General features: G+C 58.5%; 1 protein-coding gene across 26 annotated transcripts in view, besides 1 other annotated feature; it reads right to left on the minus strand.

The window, feature by feature from the left end:
* The window catches only part of FAM53A (family with sequence similarity 53 member A), a 111,956-nt gene that overhangs the window by 61,410 nt on the left and 27,420 nt on the right, over nt 1-23,126 (minus strand). For 11 of the 26 annotated variants that reach the window (XM_047449660.1, XM_047449662.1, XM_047449654.1 and 8 more), the window contains exons 3-5: nt 21,937-21,997; nt 19,507-20,252; nt 4,410-6,136 (exon numbers count right to left, since the gene is read on the minus strand). In XM_047449660.1, the coding sequence (XP_047305616.1) occupies nt 5,822-6,136; nt 19,507-20,252; nt 21,937-21,997 (1,122 nt within the window). In that variant the 3' untranslated portion in view covers nt 4,410-5,821. Of the gene's footprint in view, nt 1-4,409; nt 6,137-8,717; nt 8,872-19,506; nt 20,253-21,936; nt 21,998-23,126 lie in introns of those variants that run through there. The other 15 variants (XM_047449667.1, XM_047449670.1, XM_047449669.1 and 12 more) reach the window with 6 other exon arrangements.
* Nucleotides 11,747-12,248: an enhancer, noted in NCBI's record as "H3K4me1 hESC enhancer chr4:1648945-1649446 (GRCh37/hg19 assembly coordinates)". NCBI's record gives its function as "activates a minimal SCP1, AML or CMV promoter by ChIP-STARR-seq in primed H9 embryonic stem cells {active_cell/tissue: H9 hESC(primed)}" and the evidence as "EXISTENCE:reporter gene assay evidence [ECO:0000049][PMID:30033119]".

The raw sequence follows: 23,126 nt of genomic DNA on the forward strand, positions 1-23,126 counted from the left end.
CTATGTTGCCCAGGCTGGTCCCAAACTCCTGAACTCAAGCAATCCTCCCCGCTGTTGGCCTTCCAAAGTGCTAGGACTGCAGGCGCCAGCCACTGTGCCCAGCTATTTTTCACTCCTATTTCTTCTAATACAGTCACTGAGGACTGTAAATTCCCTTCTACACACCACTTGGGATCTACTCCACAAGCACGGATCTGCCGCGCCCACTGCCAACGGTTCTAAGTCTTTTCTCACTTCCGTTGATTTCTTCTATAACCCATGAGTTACATCAAGTGCATTTTTGGAATTTCTGAAACACATGAGGTTTTGTTTGCTTTTTGGTATTGAGTTGTGGTCAGAAGATAGGACCTGTATAATACTAATTCTTTTTTTTTTTTTTTTTTTTTTTTTGAGATGGAGTCTTGCTCTGTCGCCCAGGCTGGAGTGCAGTGGCGCGATCTCGGCTCACTGCAAGCTCTGCCTTCTGGGTTCACACCATTCTCCTGCCTCAGCCTCCCGACTAGCTGGGACTACAGGCACCCGCCACCACGCCCGGCTAATTTTCTTTTTGTATTTTTAGTAGAGATGGGGTTTCACCTTGGTAGCCAGGATGGTCTCGATCTCCTGACCTCATGATCTGCCCACCTCAGCCTCCCAAAGTGCTGGGATTACAGGCGTGAGCCGCCACGCCCGGCCATGATACTAATTCTTTGAAATGTACTGGCATTTGCTTTCTGGCCTATAAATAGTCCATTTCTGATAGGCTCCATGTGTGCCTGAAACTAATGTGATTTCCCAGCTGGGTGAGCCCCATTCCATAGACACCCCTCCGCTCAAGCCCAGGAGCCAGCACCATCAAACCTCATGTATCCTTATTGTTTCCTTTTGAGTCTACTTGACCGATTAACCACCAAGAGGATTACGAGACCTCTGCCTAGGACGGGGGTTGTGAATTTCTCCTCGCAGTTGGCTGGGTTTTGCGGCAGTGCATTGCTTTGGGAAACAGCTAACTTTGTGGTGTTGCCCCGTTCACGGGAGATCCCGTCCGTCCTCGCGCTTCAAGCTTCCCGCTGTACGTGGACTCACTCCTGCGCTCTCCACCTGAGCCCACGGCCTCGGGCACCTGGCTCACTCGTCCCTCAGGGCCTTCACACTGGCTGTCCTGGGTGGAACTCACTTCCCCAGATCCCATGCCCTCACCTCCTGAGTCTAGAGCAGCAGCCAAGAATTGGCCAATCCACCTCTGTCAGAGGAGAAAGTGCGTGCCTGCCCAAGACCTGGGTTTTTCGGGTACAGAGGGGTCCGCGTCTGCGTCTGCCAGACCAGGCATCGGGAGGCCACGGGGCTAGCATGGGGCCCAGGGTCCTCAAGGGAGACCTCCCTCCCTCCACCCAAAGGCCAGCCAGGAGGAGAGCTGAAATTCCTGCTCTTGCTGGGGGGGGGTCCCATCTGCAGGGCTGGAACAGCGAAGGTGCCCCTCCAGTGTTACCCATGGCCCCAGCATCTGCCCCTCCTCCCCCCAGGGCACTGGCTGAGCTGCACATGCGGCGGCGAGCACGAGAACAAGGAGCTCCCGCTGCACCAGAGCACGGGCAGGCTCCTCTCCTGGTGAGGGCTGCCTGGTGAGGGCCACAACCGTCTGGGGCTGGGGAGTGCCTGGGCAGACAAGCTCTCGGCACAGGGAGGTCCGGGGCTCTCAGCTGGGCTGGGCTGCCATGCCTCCGGCACCCATGCTCGGGTGGGGGGTGGGGGCGGGGATGGCCAGAGAATAGGCCCAGGATAAGGAACAAAAAGTTAGACAAGCACGGGGCCTGTGACTGCAGGGGACTGGCTGGCTCTGAGGCCCTGGCACAGAGGCTGCCACCCCACGCTGCCAGGGAGGCTCCCAGCCAGGCCGTCCCCACCTCCCCGGGTCTTCAGAGGCTCTGGGCAGGGCTGGAGGGAACGGTTGGGGGTGAGGCCAGCCCTCGAGGGACAGAGGGAGCCTGGGGGAGGATGGAGACGTATTCAGGAGAAGACATAGGTGTGGATGCTCTGGGAAGGGTGGGGAAGCCATCCCTCTCTCATCCCCATATCCCTGCCCCACCTCGCCTCAGCCTCTTCCCCTCAGGAGCCCTCCACAGGGACAGGAGCCCTGCAGTGGGGAAGGCCCCAGGAGAGGGGGAGGGCTGGGGGCAGCCCGGCAGGGGTGGGCAGGGGTGGGCAGGGGTGGGCCACTGCAGCAGTGCTGGGGGCTAGGGGCAGGGAGGGGCCTGTCTGAAGGATCCCAGCCTTGGGACTGAGGAGTGGCCTCACAGGCCCCCAGCGCAGGAAGGGAGCTGTCCCAGGGTACCAGGCACAACCCCGGCCCTCCCACCATGTCTGCCCAGCCCAGTGGATCCCACACGGGCTGACCGCTGAGGTGGGTGCCCAAAGCAGGTCCCAGGGACCCAGGGGCTGCACTGTGCCTCAGGCCCCCCATTCCTCCCATCCACCTGTCCACGGCTCTGGGGTCACCCCAGAGGGCCCTGGGACCCCCTGCCTGTGGCTAGTCGAGGAAAGACCAAGTCCAGGCCCACCGTGGGTGACACAGCTGAGCAGCCCCCACCCCACCAGAACTTCCTGCAGCTTCAGCAGCAGCCTCTCTCCATCCCCAAGGGGCCAAGCATCCACACGAGGCAGCAGGCCAACCCCCAAGGCTGCCCCCGGCCTCAGGCAGGTGACCCTGCAGGGCCAACCAAGGGACTCAAATGCCCCTGGTGAGGGTCCTGGCCCCCCATTCCAGGAAACACGCAGACACGCCCAAGGGAAAATACAGCCCTGGGGACAAGCCCCAGGGGCCGGGCTGTGAGCTCACTCGCACACACACGCCACCCTGTGCTAGGCAGACAGGGGACCCAAGGGTGCCCTGAACCTTCCGTCTCAGTCTCCCCACCCGCAGAGGACACAGCAGGTCGGCACTGCAGAAGAACCGGCTGCACTGCCCCACCGAGGGCCCCACCAACCAGACACCCTACATCAAGGGCACCGAGGGGAATGGCCCTGGGCTCGGGCCTCAGGAGGAGCCTCCAGCCCCACTCACCAGCCAGCCGGAAAGGTTCTGCCCAGGAGAGCCAGAGGTTTGGGGAAGGAGGAGATGAGGTAGGGTAGGAGGTGAGAGAGGTGGGGAAGCCCTGGGGGAAGGTGGCAAGTCCAAGGGTTGCAGGCAGGACCAGACGCTCCGTCAAGGGAAGGGGAGTGTCGGAGGGGTGGGGGGCGGCTGGTGACTGCACACGTAAACCCCAGCTCACCCCACATCCCCTCGCTCCCACACACCCAGGCCAGGCTCAGAGCTGGTGAGGGGCCCCTGGGCTGGGGTGTGAGCAGTCAGTGGCCCCCCTCCTCCTGCCTGTCCTTGAAGGGGACTCAGGTAGCGAGAGTCAGCTGGGAACTGTTCTAGACTCCAGGTAACACAGTGGACAGATCTCCCAAACCTGGGTCACCATCCAGCGGGAGGGGACGCCGGGTGGACTCAGCGTAGAGAGTGACTGCAGGGAGGGGGCGAGGCCCCACCTGCCCCTGGGGCATCCAGGCCTTGGTGGGGACCTCGGGCCCCTCTGCAGCCACAGCGACACACCCTGCCTCATCTCTGACGCCCTCCCCGACCTGCAGCAGAGGGCCCTGTGGGACCCTGGCAGGCCTGACACCACCACCATGCCAGCCCCACAGCCCTGTCTCCCATTGCTGTCCAGATTGCCATGTCCTGCAGACCAGTGGCCGGTGCCCTGGAGGCCACTCCAGCCCCACAGCCAGCCTCTGACCTGAGGGACCCTGCCCTGTACTAAGTCATCTCAGAGCACCGCCCGCCCCACCCCAAATCCCAGCACCCTGGATGACTACGCAGGTGACTGTGGCTTTTGCTAAACCACCCGGAGCTGATCTCCACAAATTTAATCCAAAACACAACCTTCCTGTGCAGTCTGGCAACTGTGTCAAAGTCCAATGCCAGGGCCCTCCCTTCCCTTCACACGAGGCCAGGGGTGGCTCTGGGGAGCAGGTGACACTCTCTTGAGCCCCTGTTCTGTCAGTCCCAGCACAGGAGCCACCCAGGGCCTGCCAACGACAGGAGGGCTCCTGACCCCGGGCCAGCACAGCAGGAGAGTAGGCACTGCCCCAACGGAGGAGGGCAGAGCCTGGCCAGGAAGGGGGATCCCACTTGCTAAGGCCCCAAACTCCCCAGCGCCATCCCCCGTCTTGCAGGGCAGAGGCAGGAGGGTCACCCGAGAGCCAGAACCCCACTTTCACCCAAGCAGCTCGGCCTCAGGAAAGCTGATCCAACAAAACCACACCACTCGCCACCTTTGCCCACCTTTGATCTGTGGCCCATGTCAGTTAAGAAAGTGGCATTGATTAACTTCAATGACCTTTCATGAATTGTATTGAGAAAAAAACAAGAAAATTTCAAAAAAGTATTAATGTTTTCTTTTGCTATCGCAAACTCGAAACCCCTACGATTTTATTAAAAGTGCAAGAATGAAAAACAGGAAATCCCTTGCCTTGTCTGGTTCTGAGCCAGAGACCAGAGGCCTGAGGCGCAGCCAGGCCCACTTCAGATGGTGGAAACGAAAATTAATCAGAAGTCGTATGCACAAAGCAAAGGCCTTGTATTAAATTCACAGAGTGGGTGCTGACGGGTGCTGCCGGCAGGACAGCCTTCCCAGAGGTCTGGCACTACACCCCACCTGAAGGTGCAAGGGCCCTCCCAGGCCACGGGAAGCAGGGACTCATGGCACCTTGGTCTGCCCCAAAGGCCATCACTGCCACCGGTGGAAAACCAGGCGGCCACAAGCTGGCGGTTCACTGGCACGTGGGTGACAAGGTTCATGGGCACAGATGCCCATGCGCAAGCCCCAAGCACCGTGACCCGTCGGGAGGGGGGGACACACGGGGCCAGTGGGACTCTGACCACCAACGCCCGGGGTTTCCTAGCAACTAAAGCACACAAGGCGCCCTGCACAGCAGGCCTTTCGTGGGGAACACAGACGCATGTTAATCTGTTTGCAGATTCATGTTTAATAGAACGCCCTTCTGAAATGCATCCAAAATAGAGAAGCTTTCTCCCGAACTGCAAAAGCCATAAAAATGCAAAATGCTTCTTTAGGAAAAACTGAATCAAAATTACGCCTTAATGTTCCAAGCAACACGAAACCTACTCTGTGCCCCAGGGCAGGTGCCGGCAGCAGCCATGGCCCCGACCAGCTCACATGAAACCTAGTCTGTGCCCCAGGGCAGTGCAGGCGGCAGCCGTGGCCCCGACCAACTCACAGGAAACCTACTCTGTGCCCCAGGGCAGGTGCCGGTGGCAGCCATGGCCCCGACCAGCTCACAGGAAACCTACTCTGTGCCCCGGGGCAGGTGCAGGCGGCAGCCATGGCCCCGACCAGCTCACAGGAAACCTACTCTGTGCCCTGGGGCAGGTGCAGGCAGCAGCCATGGCCCCGACCAGCTCACAGGAAACCTAGTCTGTGCCCCAGGGCAGTGCAGGCGGCAGCCGTGGCCCCGACCAGCTCACAGGAAACCTACTCTGTGCCCCAGGGCAGGTGCCGGTGGCAGCCGTGGCCCCGACCAGCTCACAGGAAACCTACTCTGTGCCCCAGGGCAGGTGCCGGCGGCAGCCGTGGCCCCGACCAGCTCACAGGAAACCTACTCTGTGCCCCAGGGCAGGTGCCGGCGGCAGCCGTGGCCCCGACCAGCTCACAGGAAACCTACTCTGTGCCCCAGGGCAGGTGCCGGGCCGTGGCCCCGACCAGCTCACAGGAAACCTACTCTGTGCCCCAGGGCAGGTGCAGGCGGCAGCCATGGCCCCGACCAGCCCCCACCAGCCTCAGTTGTTCTCGATCTGCTCCAGGTCCAGCTCCCAGCGGGCCCGGGGGAAGACGCCCTCCTCCCCGACACTGTCCCCATCACGGGGGTCCCCGCTGCTCCTGCGGGAGCCATCACTGGTCACCGACTCCCTAGAGGCCCACAGGTTGGGGTGGACAGGGCTGGTCCTGAGGCCCCTCTGGCTGCAGCCAGGCATGGTGATGCCAGGGAGGCCCCGGGAGTCACATGGGGAGGACAGAACCGTCTTCACTGGGGTGTCATCCTCATCGTCATCTTCGTAATTGAGGGAGCAAAGGCTTTTTGAATTTTTTAAAGTCTGCAATAGAAAAGATACGGGCTTAAAGCATTTCTAGCAGATCACACAGGAGGCAGCATCCCACCAACCCATCGAGGGCTCGGTGTGCTGGGGCTCTGGCCATCCCCAAGACCACACAAAGCAGGGGCCTTGGTCCCCTGTACACCAGCCACAGCTCTCAGAGCCCCTTTCTCAGACCCTGCCCATGCCCGCCCCAGCCCAACCAGCTGGCCCCTCAGCTCTCCTCAGCCCCCGCCCAGCTGGTGTGGGCAGAGACGCACAGCCTGGCCCTGCCCAGACCCAACGGACCAGGTTGGTGGGCACCTGACACCTAAGCAAGCCCCAAGATGCCCAGGGCTCACAGGTGACAGCCTTATCCCAGTCTTGTCCTTGGCAGGTGGCCTGTCCAGAGAGGGTGCCTTGTGCCTCCACTTCTGACAACAGCCCCACCCAGGGCCGCTCTCAGCAAGCACCTCACAGCCACCTCTGAGGCCCTGTGGTGGCTCTGTCTCTCCTCCACCTGCCCCCATAAGGCCCCTGGAACCCCACCTCGTCGGTGTCCTCAGGGGCCCACCAGACGCAGCTCCCACCTTCTCTGTCCTTGCACCTCCTCCCCTAATAGTTACTCTAATAGAAACACATGCAAATCCTTCTCATCTCAAAATACGTGCGACAAACAGGTGCACACACAGGGGTCTCCCCTGGGCAAGGCCCGCCCTCATCCCAGGCGAGTAGCTTCCAGTACCCCCATGCCACGCCCAGGCCTGTCCACAGCAGGTCCCTGAGTGCCAGGCTCCGGCCCTCCCTCTGCCCTCCGGAGGTGCCGCCACCACCCCCTTCTCACTCTGCCCCCCGGCTATATCTCACTCAGTAGCCTCCCTTCCCAAGGCCTGTTAGGAATAGGGGGTCCCCCCAGGCTGCACCCCCCAACCAGAGCACTCTGAGCTGCAAACAGTCTCCATCCACCCAGGCGTGCTCTCTTGGGCGTCTCCAGGGCCCTGAGACCCAGCAGGTGTGTCCAGCTGGGGCACGAGTCCATGGCCACGACCAGGGCACCAGCCCCTCAGCACTCCCGGGCCCCCACCCCCCGCCACCTCCCAGTCCTTGCCTCAAGTCCCCCGTCTGTGGTGCCCAGCGCCGTCCATGCCACTCGTCCACTGCCACTGGGAGCAGCCTTCCTACCCAGCCCCACCTGCCGGGTCACCTCCAGGCCTCCTCAGGGTCAAGGCTCCCCTCCTCGACCACACCACGCTGGCTTCAGACGCCTCACCTCGTGGCTCAGGCTTGTGAGGGCACGTGGGTGCCACTGGCCACGCCTGCAGGGCACAGGGGCGCCATGATGCCGATGACAAGGCCACACTGACACAGCACCCTCGGCCACCTAAAGTTATGACCTAGAGCACAAGCTCACCAATTCCACAGGACCCAAGAAACTCCCCAAATCACCTTCGTCCAGAGCAAGGAAACACCCCACAGACGGGAACCTCAAACACTTCCTGGAAACACTTCCAGCGACTGATTTTTATAAAAGCACATGGCCCTCGGGGACAGAGCTCCTTTTTTCTAAGGATATTATTGGGCTCTAAAAGACAAATTGACGCCAGGCATGGTGGCTCACACCTGTAATCCCAGCACTTTGGGAGGCCGGGGCGGGCGGATCACGAGGTCAGGAGATCAAGACCATCCTGGCTAACACGGTGAAGCCCCGTCTCTACTAAAAATACAAAAAATTAACCAGGCGTGGTGGCGGGCGCCTGTAGTCCCAGCTACTCGGGAGGCTGAGGCAGGAGAATGGCGTGAACCCGGGAGGCGGAGCTTGCAGTGAGCCGAGATTGGGCCACTGCACTCCAGCCTGGGAGACAGAGTGAGACTCTGTCTCAAAAAAATAAATAAATAGACAAAAGACGAATTGACATATTTTCTGTCTTTGTGGTTCTACTATAAAAAGTGAATCACTGAGAAGTAAAATTCTAAAGAATAATTTTTTTTTTTTTTTTTGAGACAGGGTCTTGCTCTGTTTCCCAGGCTGGAGTGCAGAGGTGCAATCATAGCTCACTGCAGCCTCGACCTCCCGGGCTCAAGCAATTCTCCCACCTCAGCCTCTCAAGTGGCTGAGACAACAGGTACATACCATCATGCCGGTCTAATTTTTGTATTTTCTGTAGCGATGGGGTCTCGCTTTGTTGACCAGGCTGGTCTCAAACTCCTGGGCTCAAACAATCCTCCCGCCTCAGCCTCCCAAAGTGCTGGGATTACAAGCATGAGCCACCACGCCCAGCCCCACTCAAATCTTTAAAGATACAACTGGCCACATGTTTTGGTCACAAAATAGGGATGCATAACTTATTTTTCATTCAAATCAAAGTGAATTTGCCCATGGACATCACTTGTCCGTACAAGCCCCAGGCCCGGCATGAGGATGTGGCTGGTCTGCTGGGCCCCTGCTGGATGGCGTGGAGGTCCGGGTCTCACCAGCTCGGTCTGGTGTCACCCGTGACCTTGCAGACTCTGGCTGCCGTGCTGCCCACACAGGATGGCCTCCAATCCACAGCACCACCAGGCTGCACTACACACGCACCGGGGTGGCGGGGACGCTACGCACCTTCAGGGGCCAGGTTTCCTTCCATTTCAAACCACGGCGTTTTGTTTTCATTCAGAGTCGACCCTCTGGACTGACTGCTCGGACCCGACAGATGCTGTAAGCTCACGCCGAGGCCTCGGACGCGGGACTCGCACTCGCGGGCACAGCTGTGCGGCTAGAGCGTGAAAACAGCAGGCTCTGAACGCCTCTGGACGACACAGTCGGTGCAGGAGAAAAAACTTCTGCCCACAGACACGGCAGCTGTACAGCTCAGCGCCCAACAGCGCTAGCGAAGGCCACACGGAACTGAAGGGGCCACCCACGCTGTAGAGACGGTGGAAACCGAGGCCCACGGGGCCGATGCTGGCCTGGACTGCGCCACCCATCCGCCTCGCGCCCCCTGTCCCTGGGCGCCAGCCCCGGGGCTCCGTCCCAGCTCCTGCTACCATCACTCTGGTTGGATGGTCACTTCCATCTGAGGTTAAACACAAAACAGTTGTCCAAAACACAAAGGTCAAGCCTTCAAGTTCCAAATTGGGCTCCAAAGCGCAGAGGCCTTTCAAACTGTGTGCGAAGCCCTCCAGGCAGTCTGGGGGGTGCACGGACCCCAGCTGACAGCTGGAGGGCCTCCAGCACCTGAGGTGGGTTAACTCAGCTACCGGAAGCCGGTGAGACCCTGGAAGGTCAGGGAAGCCTCCTACGAGCTGACCTGACGTCACTCAGCAAACGTCCAGGGCCCTGTCTCAGCCACATCTGTACCTGCCCCTTGCCAAAGCCTCTGGCTTTTGTCAAACTAAAACACGGGTTTACTCTCTTGAGAAAGCGCAAGCTCCATCCACCATGTGGGAGGGGCTCACAGGGTCCCCTCACAGCCAAGGCGGCCCTGGCCGTGGGCCGCTCTGCAGCAGGGCCAGGCAGCAGTCAAGGGTGGGGGGTGCTCCCCAAGGGCCTGGCAGTGCCTGGAGCGCAGCACAGTGCATGTTGAAACAGGCAGCCAAGCAGAGCCAAGCACCTCCCTCCTGCCACAGGGAGGCACAGGCCGGCCAAGCCACAGAGGCCCACAGGGCGCAGGGATGTCCATGGCACAGGCAGGGACAGAGATGGCCAGAGCAAGCTCCGTGCGTGTGTCAGGCGAGGAGGCCAGTGTGAGAAGCACCGGGACCCTAGACCCCTTGTTGCCTCTGGTGAGCGCCCTCCCAACCCTGCAGAAGAGAGGGTTATTAGGAAAGTACGGACTGGAGCATTCTAGACAGGGGAGCTGGCCGACGGCACATGAAAAAACTGGCTGAGTGAGCCCTGCTCAGACAACCTGCTCGGGCTGTGAGGGGCACACAGCCTTACAAAGCCAGGAAGCTGGAGAACAAAGATCCTCCCTGTCTCCCCAGCCCTCCACACAGAGGCAGAAGGAGGGGACTCTCCGCCCTGACCGTGCAGCCACTGATGGCACCGGCTCCTCATCCCAAGGGGGATGGGACAGCCAGTGCCCATCAGGAGGTATGGAGTGAGTGCCCAGCAGTGCGCCCCCTGCCCAGCACTCGCTTCTGCCACCTCACTCACCACCTCTGACCACCCTGGGCATGGCTCCTGGAGAGAAGGTCTGAGAAAACAAGCAAGAAAAATCAGCAGCTACAAATTCCAGATTTTCGGTCTGCGCCGTCTCAAACATTCCATGTTCTTGATGGTCCCTGCTACAGTTTGAACGTATACCTCCAAATCTCTACCATGGTGTTGGGAGTTGATCAGGTCCTGCGGGCCTGCACAAGACACGAGAGCCTCATAAAGGGCTGGAGGGAACCAGCCTCAGTCCTCCGCGTCCTCTATCTCCTCCGCCAGGTGAGGACACAGCCACAAGAGGCCATCTTGGAAGCAGAGGGCAGGCTCTCACCATACACCAGACTTGCTGGGGCCTGGGTCTTGGGCTCCCAGCCTCCAGAACTCTTTTTTTTTTTTTGAGACGGAGTCTTGCTCTGTCGCCCAGGTTGGAGTGCAGTGGCGCGGTCTCGGCTCACTGCAACCTCCGCCTCCCGGGTTCAGGCCATTCTCCTGCCTCAGCCTCCCAAGTAGCTGGGAATACAGGCGTCCGCCACCATGCCGGCTAATTTTTTGTATTTTTAGTAGAGACAGGGTTTCACTGTGTTAGCCAGGATGGTCTCGATCTCCTGACCTCATGATCTGCCCACCTCGGCCTCCCAAAGTGCTGGGATTACAGGCGTGAGCCACTGTGCCCAGCCCAGAACTCTTGAGAAATACATTTCTCTTATTTATAAGTGACGTCGTCGGGGGTATTTTGTTACAGCAGCAAAAACAAACTAAGTCAGTCCTTTTCTTGGTACCAGGAGCTGCTCAAAGCTTTTGGTTTTTCAATTTTCACCCAGGAGGCACAGAGAAAACAGCTCAGCAGGTGCAGCAGAGGCCCCCCCATGGAGGACAAGCCTTGCGCTCTCGTGACTGAGGCCGCGGAAGGCACCATCTGCTCACTAAACCCAAGACCTCCAAAAACGCAGCGGGCCTGAAGGTGTGAACACGGCCACATGCACCTCTAGCTTGTCCTTAGGTTCTAGCCCATGATGTAACTGCTGGCCCCAAAGCTGCCTGCCTGTCTGAAGAACTCCTCAGGCTCTGGGTGACCCAGCTGCAGGGCCACATAGGAAGCTGTTTCTTTCTCTGCAGCAGCCTCGGTCTCTCCAGAGGCAGCTGAGCGCCTTCTCTACGTGGCAAAAGCTTTTCAAAGCCCTAAAAGCACACGCTTTTATAGAAACCAGCAGCTGCTTCCACACTCTGCTGGAACCATAACTGATGTGCATATTTTCAATGGTCATATTTTAATTTCAACTTTGAAACATAGCTTTGCCAATAAAAACAGAAAAAGTAGCTTCGCCAGTAAAAGCCGGGCATGGTGGCTTATGCCTGTAATCCCAGCACTTTGGGAGGCTGAGGTGGGTGGATTTCCTGAGGTCTAGAGTTCGAGACCAGCATGGCCAACATAGTGAAACCCCCTCTCTACTAAAAATACAAAAAATTAGCCAGGCATGGTGGCAGGCACCTGTAATCCCAGCTACTCAGGAGACTGAGGCAGAGAATCGCTTGAACCTGGGAGGCAGAGGTTGCAGTTAGCCGAGATGGCACCATTGCACTCCAGCCCGGGTGACAGAGCGAGACTCCATCTCGGGAAAAAAAAAAAAAAAGCAGAAAATCCTAAATGTTTTCCTAGGAAAACATGCACTGTTTCCAAGGGAAAGGCAGGGAAGGCAGTGCCCCTGCACCCTGCTCAGAGAGCAGCCCTCTGACACCTGGGGAAGCTGGTGTGAGCCTAGACTCAGAGCAGACAGCAGGGGGTGGCGGGGGGTTGAGGATGATCGCCGAACGGTCCCACTGATAAGCCCCGACATAGGAGCCCTGCAGGGTGAACACAGTTGCGCACGCAGACTGCACAACACACGCCAGGGACGCCGGACTAGAGCTGGGCTGCGCATACCGAGTCCGCCAGGTGCAAGCACAGCACAGCCGGGGTGCGGATGTGAGCGAGCGTGAGCATGCAGCGGTGCACATGAGTGGGAGTGTGCACATGAGTGGGAGTGTGCACCTGAGTGTGCACATAAGCGTGGGGGTGAGTGTGCATGGTGGGTATGTGTGTGTGCCCACCCAGAGTCAGGACTAATTGTCCGGTAACACACAATTATAAAAGTTGTAGAGGAAAATCAGAGCATTTCTTTTTGGCCCTGAGGTGGAGAGGAGCTTGACACAAACAGGAAGTGGCAAAGCCTGGGCCTGGTGGCGCACGCCTGCAATCCCAGCACTTTGGGAGGTGAGGCAGGAAGATGGCTTGAGCCCAGGAATTTGAGACCAACTTGGACAACATAGTAAGGCTCTGTCTCTTAAAAAATTGAGAATATTAGCTGGGCACAGGAGTGTGCACCTGTGGTCCCAGCTACTTAGGAGGCTGAGGTGGGAGGATCACCTGGGTCCAGGAGATGGAGACTGCAGTGAGCTGTGATTATACCACTACACTCCAGCCAGGGCAACAGAGAGAGAGACCCTGTCTCCAAAAAACAAAACAAAACCAGGAACTGACAGGTAACCCAGGCTGGGGGCCAAGTGTTCACCAAAGGTGCCACATATTCAGGTGATGCGGTGCAGGCAGGGGTAGGTGGGTGTGGGTGAAGACTGGTTGGCTGACAGGGAGAGGGGCACACAGACGGCAGATGAGGGACACAGAGAAAGGTGGGAGCCAGTTTTTGGGTGGGATGAGCAAAGAGCTGGAAAGAGGGAGAGCAGGCAGCCCTGGCCCCTCAGGAGTCTTGGCACTGTCCTCTGCAGCCGCGGTCAGGAGGGCTCTGGGTTTGCAGACGTGGCCCCTGAAGACACTGCCTGTCTCCTCAGGGGCTTTCCTGACATTTGATGAGGCCCTCTCCCCACAAACCTTTTTACCAGAAAGCGATGACTACGGTCACACTGAAGACACTCGTGAGCAAGCAGACCAAAGCGGCTGAATTTAAGGCAATGCACACTTCAGGGCGGGCAGGTATTACCTGGCCCCCACATGAAGCAAATAAACGAAAAGCTTTTATTTCAGGTGAGGTTGAGTCCCAGGAGCAGAATGGGGTGTGCAGCACCCACATCACTGTTCTGGCTCATTAACAAAGTCACTGAAGAAAACGGGGCAAGCCGGGAGTGGTGGCTCACGCCTGTAATCCCAGCACTTTGTGAGGCCAAGGCAGGCGGATTACCTGAGGCCAAGAGTTCAAGACCAGCCTGGCCAATATGGTGAAACCCCATCTCTACTAAAAATACAAAAATTAGCCAGGTGTGGTGGTGGGCGCCTACAATCCCAGACACTTGGGAAGCTGACGCAGGAGAATCTCTGGAATCTGGGAGGCAGAGGTTGCACTGAGCTGAGATCATGCCACTGCAGTCCAGCGTGGGCAACAAGAGCAAAACAGAAAGGGAAAGGGAAGAGGAAGGGGAAGGGGAAGGGGAAAGGGAAGGGGAAAGGGAAGGGGAAAGGGAAAGGGAAGGGGAAGGGGAAGGGGAAAGGGAAAGGGAAGGGGAAGGGGAAGAGGAGGGGAGGAAAGAAAAGGAAAGAGAAAGAAAGAAGGAAACAAGGGAACAAAGAAAGCTCTGCACCTGCCTATCCTCTCTGTAAGCCCCCTACCTGTCTGTGGCCAACCAAAGTCCAGCACAAGGGGTGGGAGGCACCAGAGCCAGCATCAATGCTAACACCATTCCACAAGCACCGTTTCTGACCGACACTCCTTACGGAGAAGAGCGGTTTTGAAATCACTCCCTTCAAAAAGTGGAGCCCGATCCTCCTCCCACTGAGTAAGGGCTAGACAGAGTTAAGGAGCAGACGAAATCTCAGCTGGTGAGGACCAGGTCACACAGGGCTCTGTGGGGCCCGCTCATGCCCACTGGGGTCACTCATTATGGGAAATCAAGCTGCCACATCGTGAACACACTCAGGCTGCCCCTCAGGGAGGCCCATGTGGCAAAGAAATGAGGCCTCCTGCCAAAAGCCACATGGGTGAACTTAGAAGCAGGTCCTGCAGCCCCAGTCAAGCCTCCAGGTAACCACAACCTGGCTGACTGAGCTCCAAGGAGGCCTGAGCAGAGCCTCCCCATCGGCCTCCGGGACCCCTGAGGTGGCTCAGGCATGGTGTTTGTGAGGTGGCTCAGGTGTGGTGTTTGACAGTGAGGTGGCACAGGCGTGGTGTTTGTGAGGTGGCACAGGCGTGGCGTTTGACTGTGAGGTGGCACAGGCGTGGCGTTTGACTGTGAGGTGGCACAGGCGTGGCGTTTGACTGTGAGGTGGCACAGGCGTGGCGTTTGACTGTGAGGTGGCACAGGCGTGGCGTTTGACTGTGAGGTGGCACAGGCGTGGCGTTTGACTGTGAGGTGGCACAGGCGTGGTGTTTGTGAGGTGGCACAGGCGTGGCGTTTGACTGTGAGGTGGCACAGTCATGGTGTTTGACTGTGAGGTGGCACAGGCGTGGTGTTTGTGAGGTGGCACAGGCGTGGCGTTTGACTGTGAGGTGGCACAGGCGTGACATTTGACTGTGAGGTGGCACAGGCGTGGCGTTTGACTGTGAGGTGGCAAAGGCGTGGCGTTTGACTGTGAGGTGGCACAGGCGTGGTGTTTGTGAGGTGGCACAGGCATAGTGTTTGACTGTGAGGTGGCACAGGCGTGGTGTTTGACTGTGAGGTGGCACAGGTGTGGTGTTTGTGAGGTGGCATAGGCGTGGTGTTTGACTGTGAGGTGGCACAGGTGTGGTGTTTGACTGTGAGGTGGCACAGGCGTGGTGGTTTTTGGTTTTGATTTTGGTTTTTTCTGTTGTTTTTGTTTTTGTTTTGAGACAGAGTCTCACTCTGTCGCCCAGGCTGGAGTGCAGTGGCGTGATCTCAGTTCACCGCAACCTCCGCCTCCAGGTTCAAGCGATTCTCCTGACTCAGCCTCCCAAGTAGCTAGGACTACAGGCGCCCACCATCATGCCCAGCAAATTTTTGTATTTTTAGTAGAGGCGGGGTTTCACCATGTTGGCCAGGCTGGTCTCGAACTCCTGACCTCAAATGATCCACCCGCCTCAGCCTCCCAAGGTGCTGGGATTACAGGCGTGAGCCAGTACACCCGGCGGGTTTTGTTTTTTTTTTAACACAGGTGTGAAGTTTGAAGCTGCTGGATTCAGGCTTGCTTGTCCCAAGAAGAGGACTAGGACAGTGCTCACGCATCTTCATTGCAGAGAATTCACTCGGGCATTGATATCAAGATTGAGCTGGCTAGATGCAGTGGCTCACGCCTGTAATCCCAGCACTTTGGGAGGCCGAGGCGGGTGGATCACGAGGTGAGGAGTTCGAGACCAGCCTGGCCAACGTGGTGAAACCCCGTCTGTACTAAAAATACAAAAATTAGCTGGGCGTGATGGTGGGCACCTATAATCCCAGCTACTCGGGAAGCTGAGGCAGGAGAATCCCTTGGACCCAGGAGGCAGAGGTTGCAGTGAGCCAAGATCACACCATTGTTCCATTGCTCACCAGCCTGGGACAGAGCGAGACTCCATCTCGAAAAAAAAAAAAAAAAATTAAGAGAGGGCCGGGCACGGTGGCTCACATCTGTAATCCCAGCAATTTGGGAGGCCGAGGCAGGCGGATCACCTGAGGTCAGAAGTTCAAGACCAGCCTGGACAACATGGTAAAATCCTATCTCTATTAAAAATACAAATATTAGCCAAGCGTGGTGGTGCATGCCTGCAACCCCAGCTACTCGGGAGGCTGAGGCAGGAGAATTGCTTGAGTCCGGGAAGTGGAGGTTGCAGTGACCGGAGATCGTGCCACTGCATTCCAGCCTGGGCAAAAAGAGCGAAATTCTGTCTTAAAAAAAAAAAAAAAGATGGAGATTAGAGGCAACAAAGCCAACTAGGATGATGTCTCAGTAGCCGAAGAGGGTATCAAGGCCTGAGGCAGAATAACCGGGGTCAAGAGGAAGGAGGACTGAATCACAGAAACATCCAGAGGACGGGACACCAGCCTGGGTGACCAGCGCTTGCATGGACAGGGACACGCAGGCTCAGCAAGGGACCCAAAGCTGGGGACAGGGACACACAGGCTCAGCAAGGGACCCAAAGCCGGGGACAGGGACACGCAGGCTCAGCAAGGGACCCAAAGCCGGGGCTGCATGGATCTGAGGGATGGATGCCCCGCGCAGCCCCAGTCCTAGGGGTCACGGCTCCAGTTCCCACACAGCGGGGGTTTCTCCTCCCAGAGAGAAACCAGGCACCCACCTATGCATCAGACACACACACACACCATGCACGCACACACCACACGCACACCTCACACACACACCACACACGTCACACACACACCACACACGCCACACACACACCACACACGCCACACACACACCACATACACCAGTCACACACACATCACACATACCATACACACCAGACACACACACGCCACACACACCTCATACACCACACACACCACACGTCACACACACACCCCACACGCCACACACACCATACACGCCACACACACCACACATGCCACACACACCACACACACTAGTCGCACACACACCACACACACCACACGCCAGACACCGCATACACCAGACACACACATGCCACACACACACAAACACCACACACGTCACACACACCATACACACACGCTATACACACACCACACGTCACACGCACAACACACACAACACACATCACATGCACACCACACACACCAGACACACACACGCCACATACACACCACACATCACACACACACCACCCACCCCACACACACGACACACATCACACATACCACACACGTCACAAACACACCACACATTCCACACACCATATACTCTACCATACACACAGGCCACACCACACATTACCACACACACACCACACACAGGCCACACATCACACACACCACACATCACTCACCACACACACACACACCAGACACACCCACCAGACATATCCAATACACCACATATACACCACACCACACATACCACAGACCACACACCACACACAGAACACACACCACACACACTACCAGAGACCACACACTGCACACACACACCACACACAGACTACACACCACACAGCACACACCAAACACACCACACACGTCACACACACACCACATACTACCCACCACACACCACACGCTACACACCACACAGCACACACACCACACACCAAACACCACACATACCACAGACACCACACACTACACACCAGACAGCACTCACCACACACACCCCCACCACACACATACCACACAGACCACGCATACACTACACCACATACACACAACACACATCCCACACACACATCACACACCACACACACTACACACACACAACACATAGACCACACACCACCCATAGACGTCACATACACATCACACACCACATACACCACACAGAGCACACACTACACACACCACACAGCACATAGCACGTGTGCCACACACACACCACACAGCATTTGACGGCAGCCCTGCCCTTCTCCCACCCATCTCCCCAACACACCACACACCCGGGTGTCCATGAGCCCTGGTCCTGGGTCTGGCGAGTCCTTGCCTCTACCCACACCTCACACTCTACCGGGGGTACCCCATGTCCACACTGAGCCCCATGCAGCCTCGATCACCAACTCACCCAACCACCTGGTCTGTCTCCCAAGGCATCTGAGAAACCCAGGGCCGCTCTACATTAGGACTGTTGTCTGGTCATCAATACGTCGCTGGCACCATCATTCCCCGCCCCACAACGTGCTGAGCCGGCAGCTCCCTCCTCTGCTCCCATCCCTCCTGGTCCCCGTGGGGCCTGACACCCACGCCATGCACACCCCAAGCCCTGGCAAGCAGGGACAGCCTGCTTGTGCTATGTCCAAAGCTTGCCACCAGCTTTCCAGCATTTACTGGCTTCCCCAGGTCAGCCCATCTCATAGCAAAAGATCAGAGCCTTCTCTAAACCCTGCTCTCTGCAGAAAAGTTTCATAGCAGGGAAGTCTGGGTTTTCAACTCACCTCAAGCCCCCCGGAAGAATCAACTGGAGAGCCCACTGATCAGAAGAGGCAAAGCTCACGGTGCCCTCAGCGTGGCCTAGGACTAGCGTCCTGGAGGACCCTGGGGGATCCCACCTGGCACGCCGGCCACACTGCTCTCCAGCTCTGGGCTGTGGCCAGGTCGAGGAGGACCTGGGCCATCTGTGCCCCTTCTCCAGTCACTGTCCCCACAGGATGCCCAGGCCCAGCCCACCCGAGCAAGACAGTGCAGCCACACTATGGACAGCTCCACCCACATCTACAGCCCCCAGAGGCAGGGCATGGGCAAGCCTGTGGCCCGGAGGATGGGGCTGGGGATGAGAGTTCAGGGGGCTGCCAAGGCCACAGGTCATTGAGGAGACAGGCTGACACTGATCCCGCCCCACCCTAGCCACAGCCCCACTCGGCCCTGGCTGGTACTCAGTTGGCATCGGGAAGTCCTGTTAATTTCTGCCACTGCCCAAAGCTTCCCCGACACAGATGACCCAGTGAGTGTGCACACAGCCCACCCTACTCTGTCACGGCTCTGCCATCTCCCTCCCCGAGCGCTGCCGGGCCCCCAGAGGTCTCTGGTGAATGCACTCCCTTAGTAACACAGAGCAAGACCTGGGAAAGCCTCCTCAGTCCTGTTTCCTTCCTTAACTCTGTGCCAACCACGGCCTGTGACGGGGGTGTGGAGAGGTGGGTGGCACTGAGAATCTTCAAGTGGGTGAAGGCTCTCTCCTACATCCAGACAGTTTCTGCAGGAGGTGCCTGTACAGTCCCAAAGCGCACAGGCGCTGCTGGGCTCTGAGCTGCAACATGCACACCCACCAGCTCCCACAAGAGAGGACCCCGGGCTCTGCCTCGAATGGGGCTCCCAGGACAGCTTGTTACTTCCTGAGCCATCACCAGAAAAAGTCAGGGGACTCCCCAGCAGCTGAGGCGGGGGGCGGCTCAGCCAGGCCAGAAACCCACAGCTCCGTTCTGCTGCCTCCCCCAGGCCTCACTGCAAGCCTGGCCGGCCACCCTGGGCCGTGTGTGGGGCTCTGCCTCTGCGGGAGCAGGCGGGGTGAGCTGGGTGCTCTGACACCAGGACAGGCCCCCGATCGCTCCCACGCACTCCAGATGGCTCTCCTCACTCCTTTCCTCCCAGCCCAGAGAAGACCAGCCGGATGCTAACAGCCACATCCAGAGAATCAGCCAGCCTCACCCCAGCACCGCCCTGTCCAGATCTACGCCCCTCTGAGCCCCTGGAAATAAGAAAGCCTCACCTGGGTCATTTTCAGGAAGTCCAAGGATGGGCGTGTCCACCTGGCGTCCTCCTCACGCCTCCGTTTGCGCCGGCTCCTCTTCCCACTGAGCACGCAAGGCTGTGAGCGGCACCGGAGCAGCCCACGGCGCCCGCCCAGCGCAGGCGTGGACGTGGGGCTGCTGCTGGCCCAGGGCAGGGGAGTGCCCGCACCCGCGAGTCGCTCCTGTGAGAGGGACGGGCGGCGCCTCGTGGAGGGCAAGCAGGACTCCGCGGAACACCAGAGCGGGCCTGAGCCCGCACTGCCCTCGCTGCTGTCCACGAAGCCGCCGCTGGCGGAGGACGGCCGGGGCGTGGCGGGCGAGGTGGGACCGGTCGACCACACAGCACTCCTCGGCAGGACGGCGCCGGGGCTTCCCTGCCGCGTGGCACTCCCGCCGCTGTCGCACCGCCTCTTGGAGACTGGAGTCCAGACCTTGGAGCTGCCGGGGCGCCAGGGGGACCGGCAGCGCACAAGCTCCTCGGGTTCTGACAAGGACCGGCAATGCCGCTTGGTCGGTGGGGCCGTGGACGAGCCTGTGCTTTCACTGGGGTCCACGGTGCTGGCTGCACCCAGGCCTGCGCCTGGGCGCGGGGACTGTGGCTGCCACTGAAGACCCATGGTGTGAGCGGCAGCAGACAGGCCCGGCAGGAAGGAGAAATCAGGGCCCGTGGCTGCCTGGCTTCTGACGGGCGGTCCTCCACTGAAGACCTTCCAGGGACTCTGGTCTACAAAAAAAGACACAAAGAGGCAGGGGAAGAGACAGGTGAGCCACAGGGCAGGCGACATCCATCCCGGCAAACAGCCTGGCAGAGCTGTCAAGGGCACAACCCCATCGCCGCCACCCCTGGGCGTGCTTCTCCAAGATGTCCGTGGCGCACAGTGGACACCAGCCCCGCCTGCCCTTGCTGGGTTAGCTGCGGGGCTCGGCTCACTTCTTAAAGGGGACACCGTGTCTGAAGGAGGTGTCAGCCTCCCCACCGGTGCCTCCCTGAGAACAACCGCACGGCTCTGCTCTCCCGACAGCTTTGCTAAAACATTCTTCCCGCATCCTCAAAATGCCCCTCTCCCTCTGTGACCAGGCATCTCAAGGATGTGCGGCTACCCCGGCCAGGACTCTCCAGGGCCCCTTCTTAAAGCAGCTCAGGTCCCTTAGTAACATGGGCAACACAGGGTCACACCTGCTGCCACGGTCTTCAGGGAGAGTCTGAGCCCCAGAAACTCCTCACAAACCTCAGAGCCACCAGGTCCAGGCCTGGAGCCCCTTCCCAAGTCTCACTTCCTGCACAACTGTCCTGGGGTTGCCTGTCTAACGCGCTCCCCAGCCCACTGCCTGCTGGTTCGGAGAAGCCTGGAGAGCAAGGCCAGGTGCATGGGCCTGGCATGGAGTCTGCCCAGTGGCTTGTGCAGTCACTGTCCAGCTGAGGAACTTGGAGTGGAGGCTGTGAGACCTGCCTCTGGGGAAAGGCCCTGGGATGACCTTGGGGTGACTGGGAGAGAGATGGGGGCTGTGGGGAGGAGACGTGGAGGTGTAGGCAGGGAGAGCGGCCGGCTGGGTGAGGAGTGTAGGAAGCGCTGCGGGGCTCTGAGCCAGGATGGAGGTGGCTGGTCTGACCCCGTGTGCAGGATGAACCCCAGGAGGCTGAGGTGAGGACATCGCACCACAGGCCCGGCAGGGGGTGGGGCTCTGGCCAGCTGGGGCCTCACACATGCTACTTCCATCTACTCATGAAAGAATCTGGTAAAACACCTTCACTTTGGTCATCTGGCGCTCAGCAAGGTGAGCCTCCTAACGGGCCCACTCTGCGTGACACAGGGCGCTGGGCGTGTCACAGTCAGGTAAGCAGGGCCAACAGAGGGAGATGCCCCTGGGACCTTCGCTGGGGGAGGACCTGGGACCCCAGGGTTACCTGGCCCGTGAACACCAGCCAGCCTCCATACTCGGGGCACCTGCTCTCCATCAATGAAGGGCCCACCTGCGGGTGAACCAGGCACAGCCACACCCTCCACTGCACGGACAGTGGGTGGGCCGCCCAGTATGCCATGGCACGCTCCAGCTGACGCTACAAGCCCTGCCAGCCACGCCGTCCTCTTCTTTTCGTGGCCACAGGGTGGGCCTTGCACCTTCCAGAAAGGGCGCAGCAGACCCCTGGGCCCCACCAGCTGAGGAGGGAGAGACCTGGCTGGGCCCGCACCCTACACGAGCCGTCCTGCTCACAGACCACTCTTGACCACGGGCCCAGCCGTTGGAGGACGGCAGCAGGGACCACCCCACGCCCCAGTGCAGGGCACACGAACACCTTCCTGGGCTTCTGCAGATCCGGCTCATGTTCTGCGTCCAGGACCCTCCCAGCCCAGGAGCCCAGTCCCAGCCCTGCTCAGGCCTCCGGCCACAGCTCCTAAAGTGCTCACCGTTGAGCTCCAAAGGGAACAGACGACCGCTCTTGTTCAGGGTTTCCGCAGAATACTGCAACTGACAGGAAAGAGAAGTTTCAATACTGTGACTGACACGTGAGAATTCGGCAATAATATCCCCCATTTTCATCACTGCAGCACGTTCTACCTTTCCCCAGTGTTTTCTTTCTAGTGATTAAAATAAGCACAGTTTTATTAAAACCTAACAAAATTCAACTGAGTAAATGGACAATTTTTTATTTTTTTAGATGGAGTCTCGCACAGTCACCCAGGCTGGAGTGCAGTGGCGCGATCTCGGCTCACTGCAAGCTCCGCCTCTCGGGTTCACGCCATTCTCCTGCCTCAGCCTCCCAAGTAGCTGGGACTACAGGCGCCCACCACCACGCCCGGTTAATTTTTTTTGTATTTTTAGTAGAGACAGGGTTTCACCGTGTTAGCCAGGACGGTCTCCATCTCCTGACCTCGTGATCCGCCCGCCTCAGCCTCCTAAAGTGCTGGAATTACAGGCATGAGCCACCACGCCCGGCTGTAAACGGACATTTTTAAATTTTTTAAAAAATTTTTTCTGTTTTTAAAAGAGCTGTTAACACTAAGCAGACTTTTTTTTTGTCTGTTTTTGAGACAGAGTCTCGCTCTGTTGCTCAGACTGGAGTGCAGTGGTGCTATCTCTGCTTACTACAAGCTCTGCCTCCCGGGTTCACGCCATTCTCCTGTCTCAGCCTCCCGAGTAGCTGGGACTACAGAAAGCTGCCACCACGCCCAGCTAATTTTGTTTTTTTAAATATATTTTTCGTAGAGACAGGGTTTCACCGTGTCAGCCAGGATGGTCTCGATCTCTTCACCTCGTGATCTTCCCGCCTCAGCCTCACAAAGTGCTGGAATTACAGGTGTGAGCCACCACGCCCGGCCTCAGACATTTTTATTCCAAGCCACAGGCATGCATCCTGTCCCTGCTCCTGAAGCTCAGGCCCTCCTGCCTTTCGGCAGCCTCAGCTGCAGCCGTCTTTGCAAACCTCACCACTTACTTACTTTTCAGCAAGAACTTCAGCCAAGACCCAAGGGGCCCTTTCCCACCTGCAACAGCTCAGACACGGGACCTGAGCGCCTAAGCCAGGCTCTGGAGTGTGGTGCTGGTCCAGGGAGACGTCCAGAGGGCAGGGTCTCCCTCCCTGGAAGCAGGAAAGCCA

Source organism: Homo sapiens, chromosome 4 (assembly GCF_000001405.40).
Source record: "Homo sapiens chromosome 4, GRCh38.p14 Primary Assembly".
In the NCBI taxonomy this organism is placed as follows: domain Eukaryota; kingdom Metazoa; phylum Chordata; class Mammalia; order Primates; family Hominidae; genus Homo; species Homo sapiens.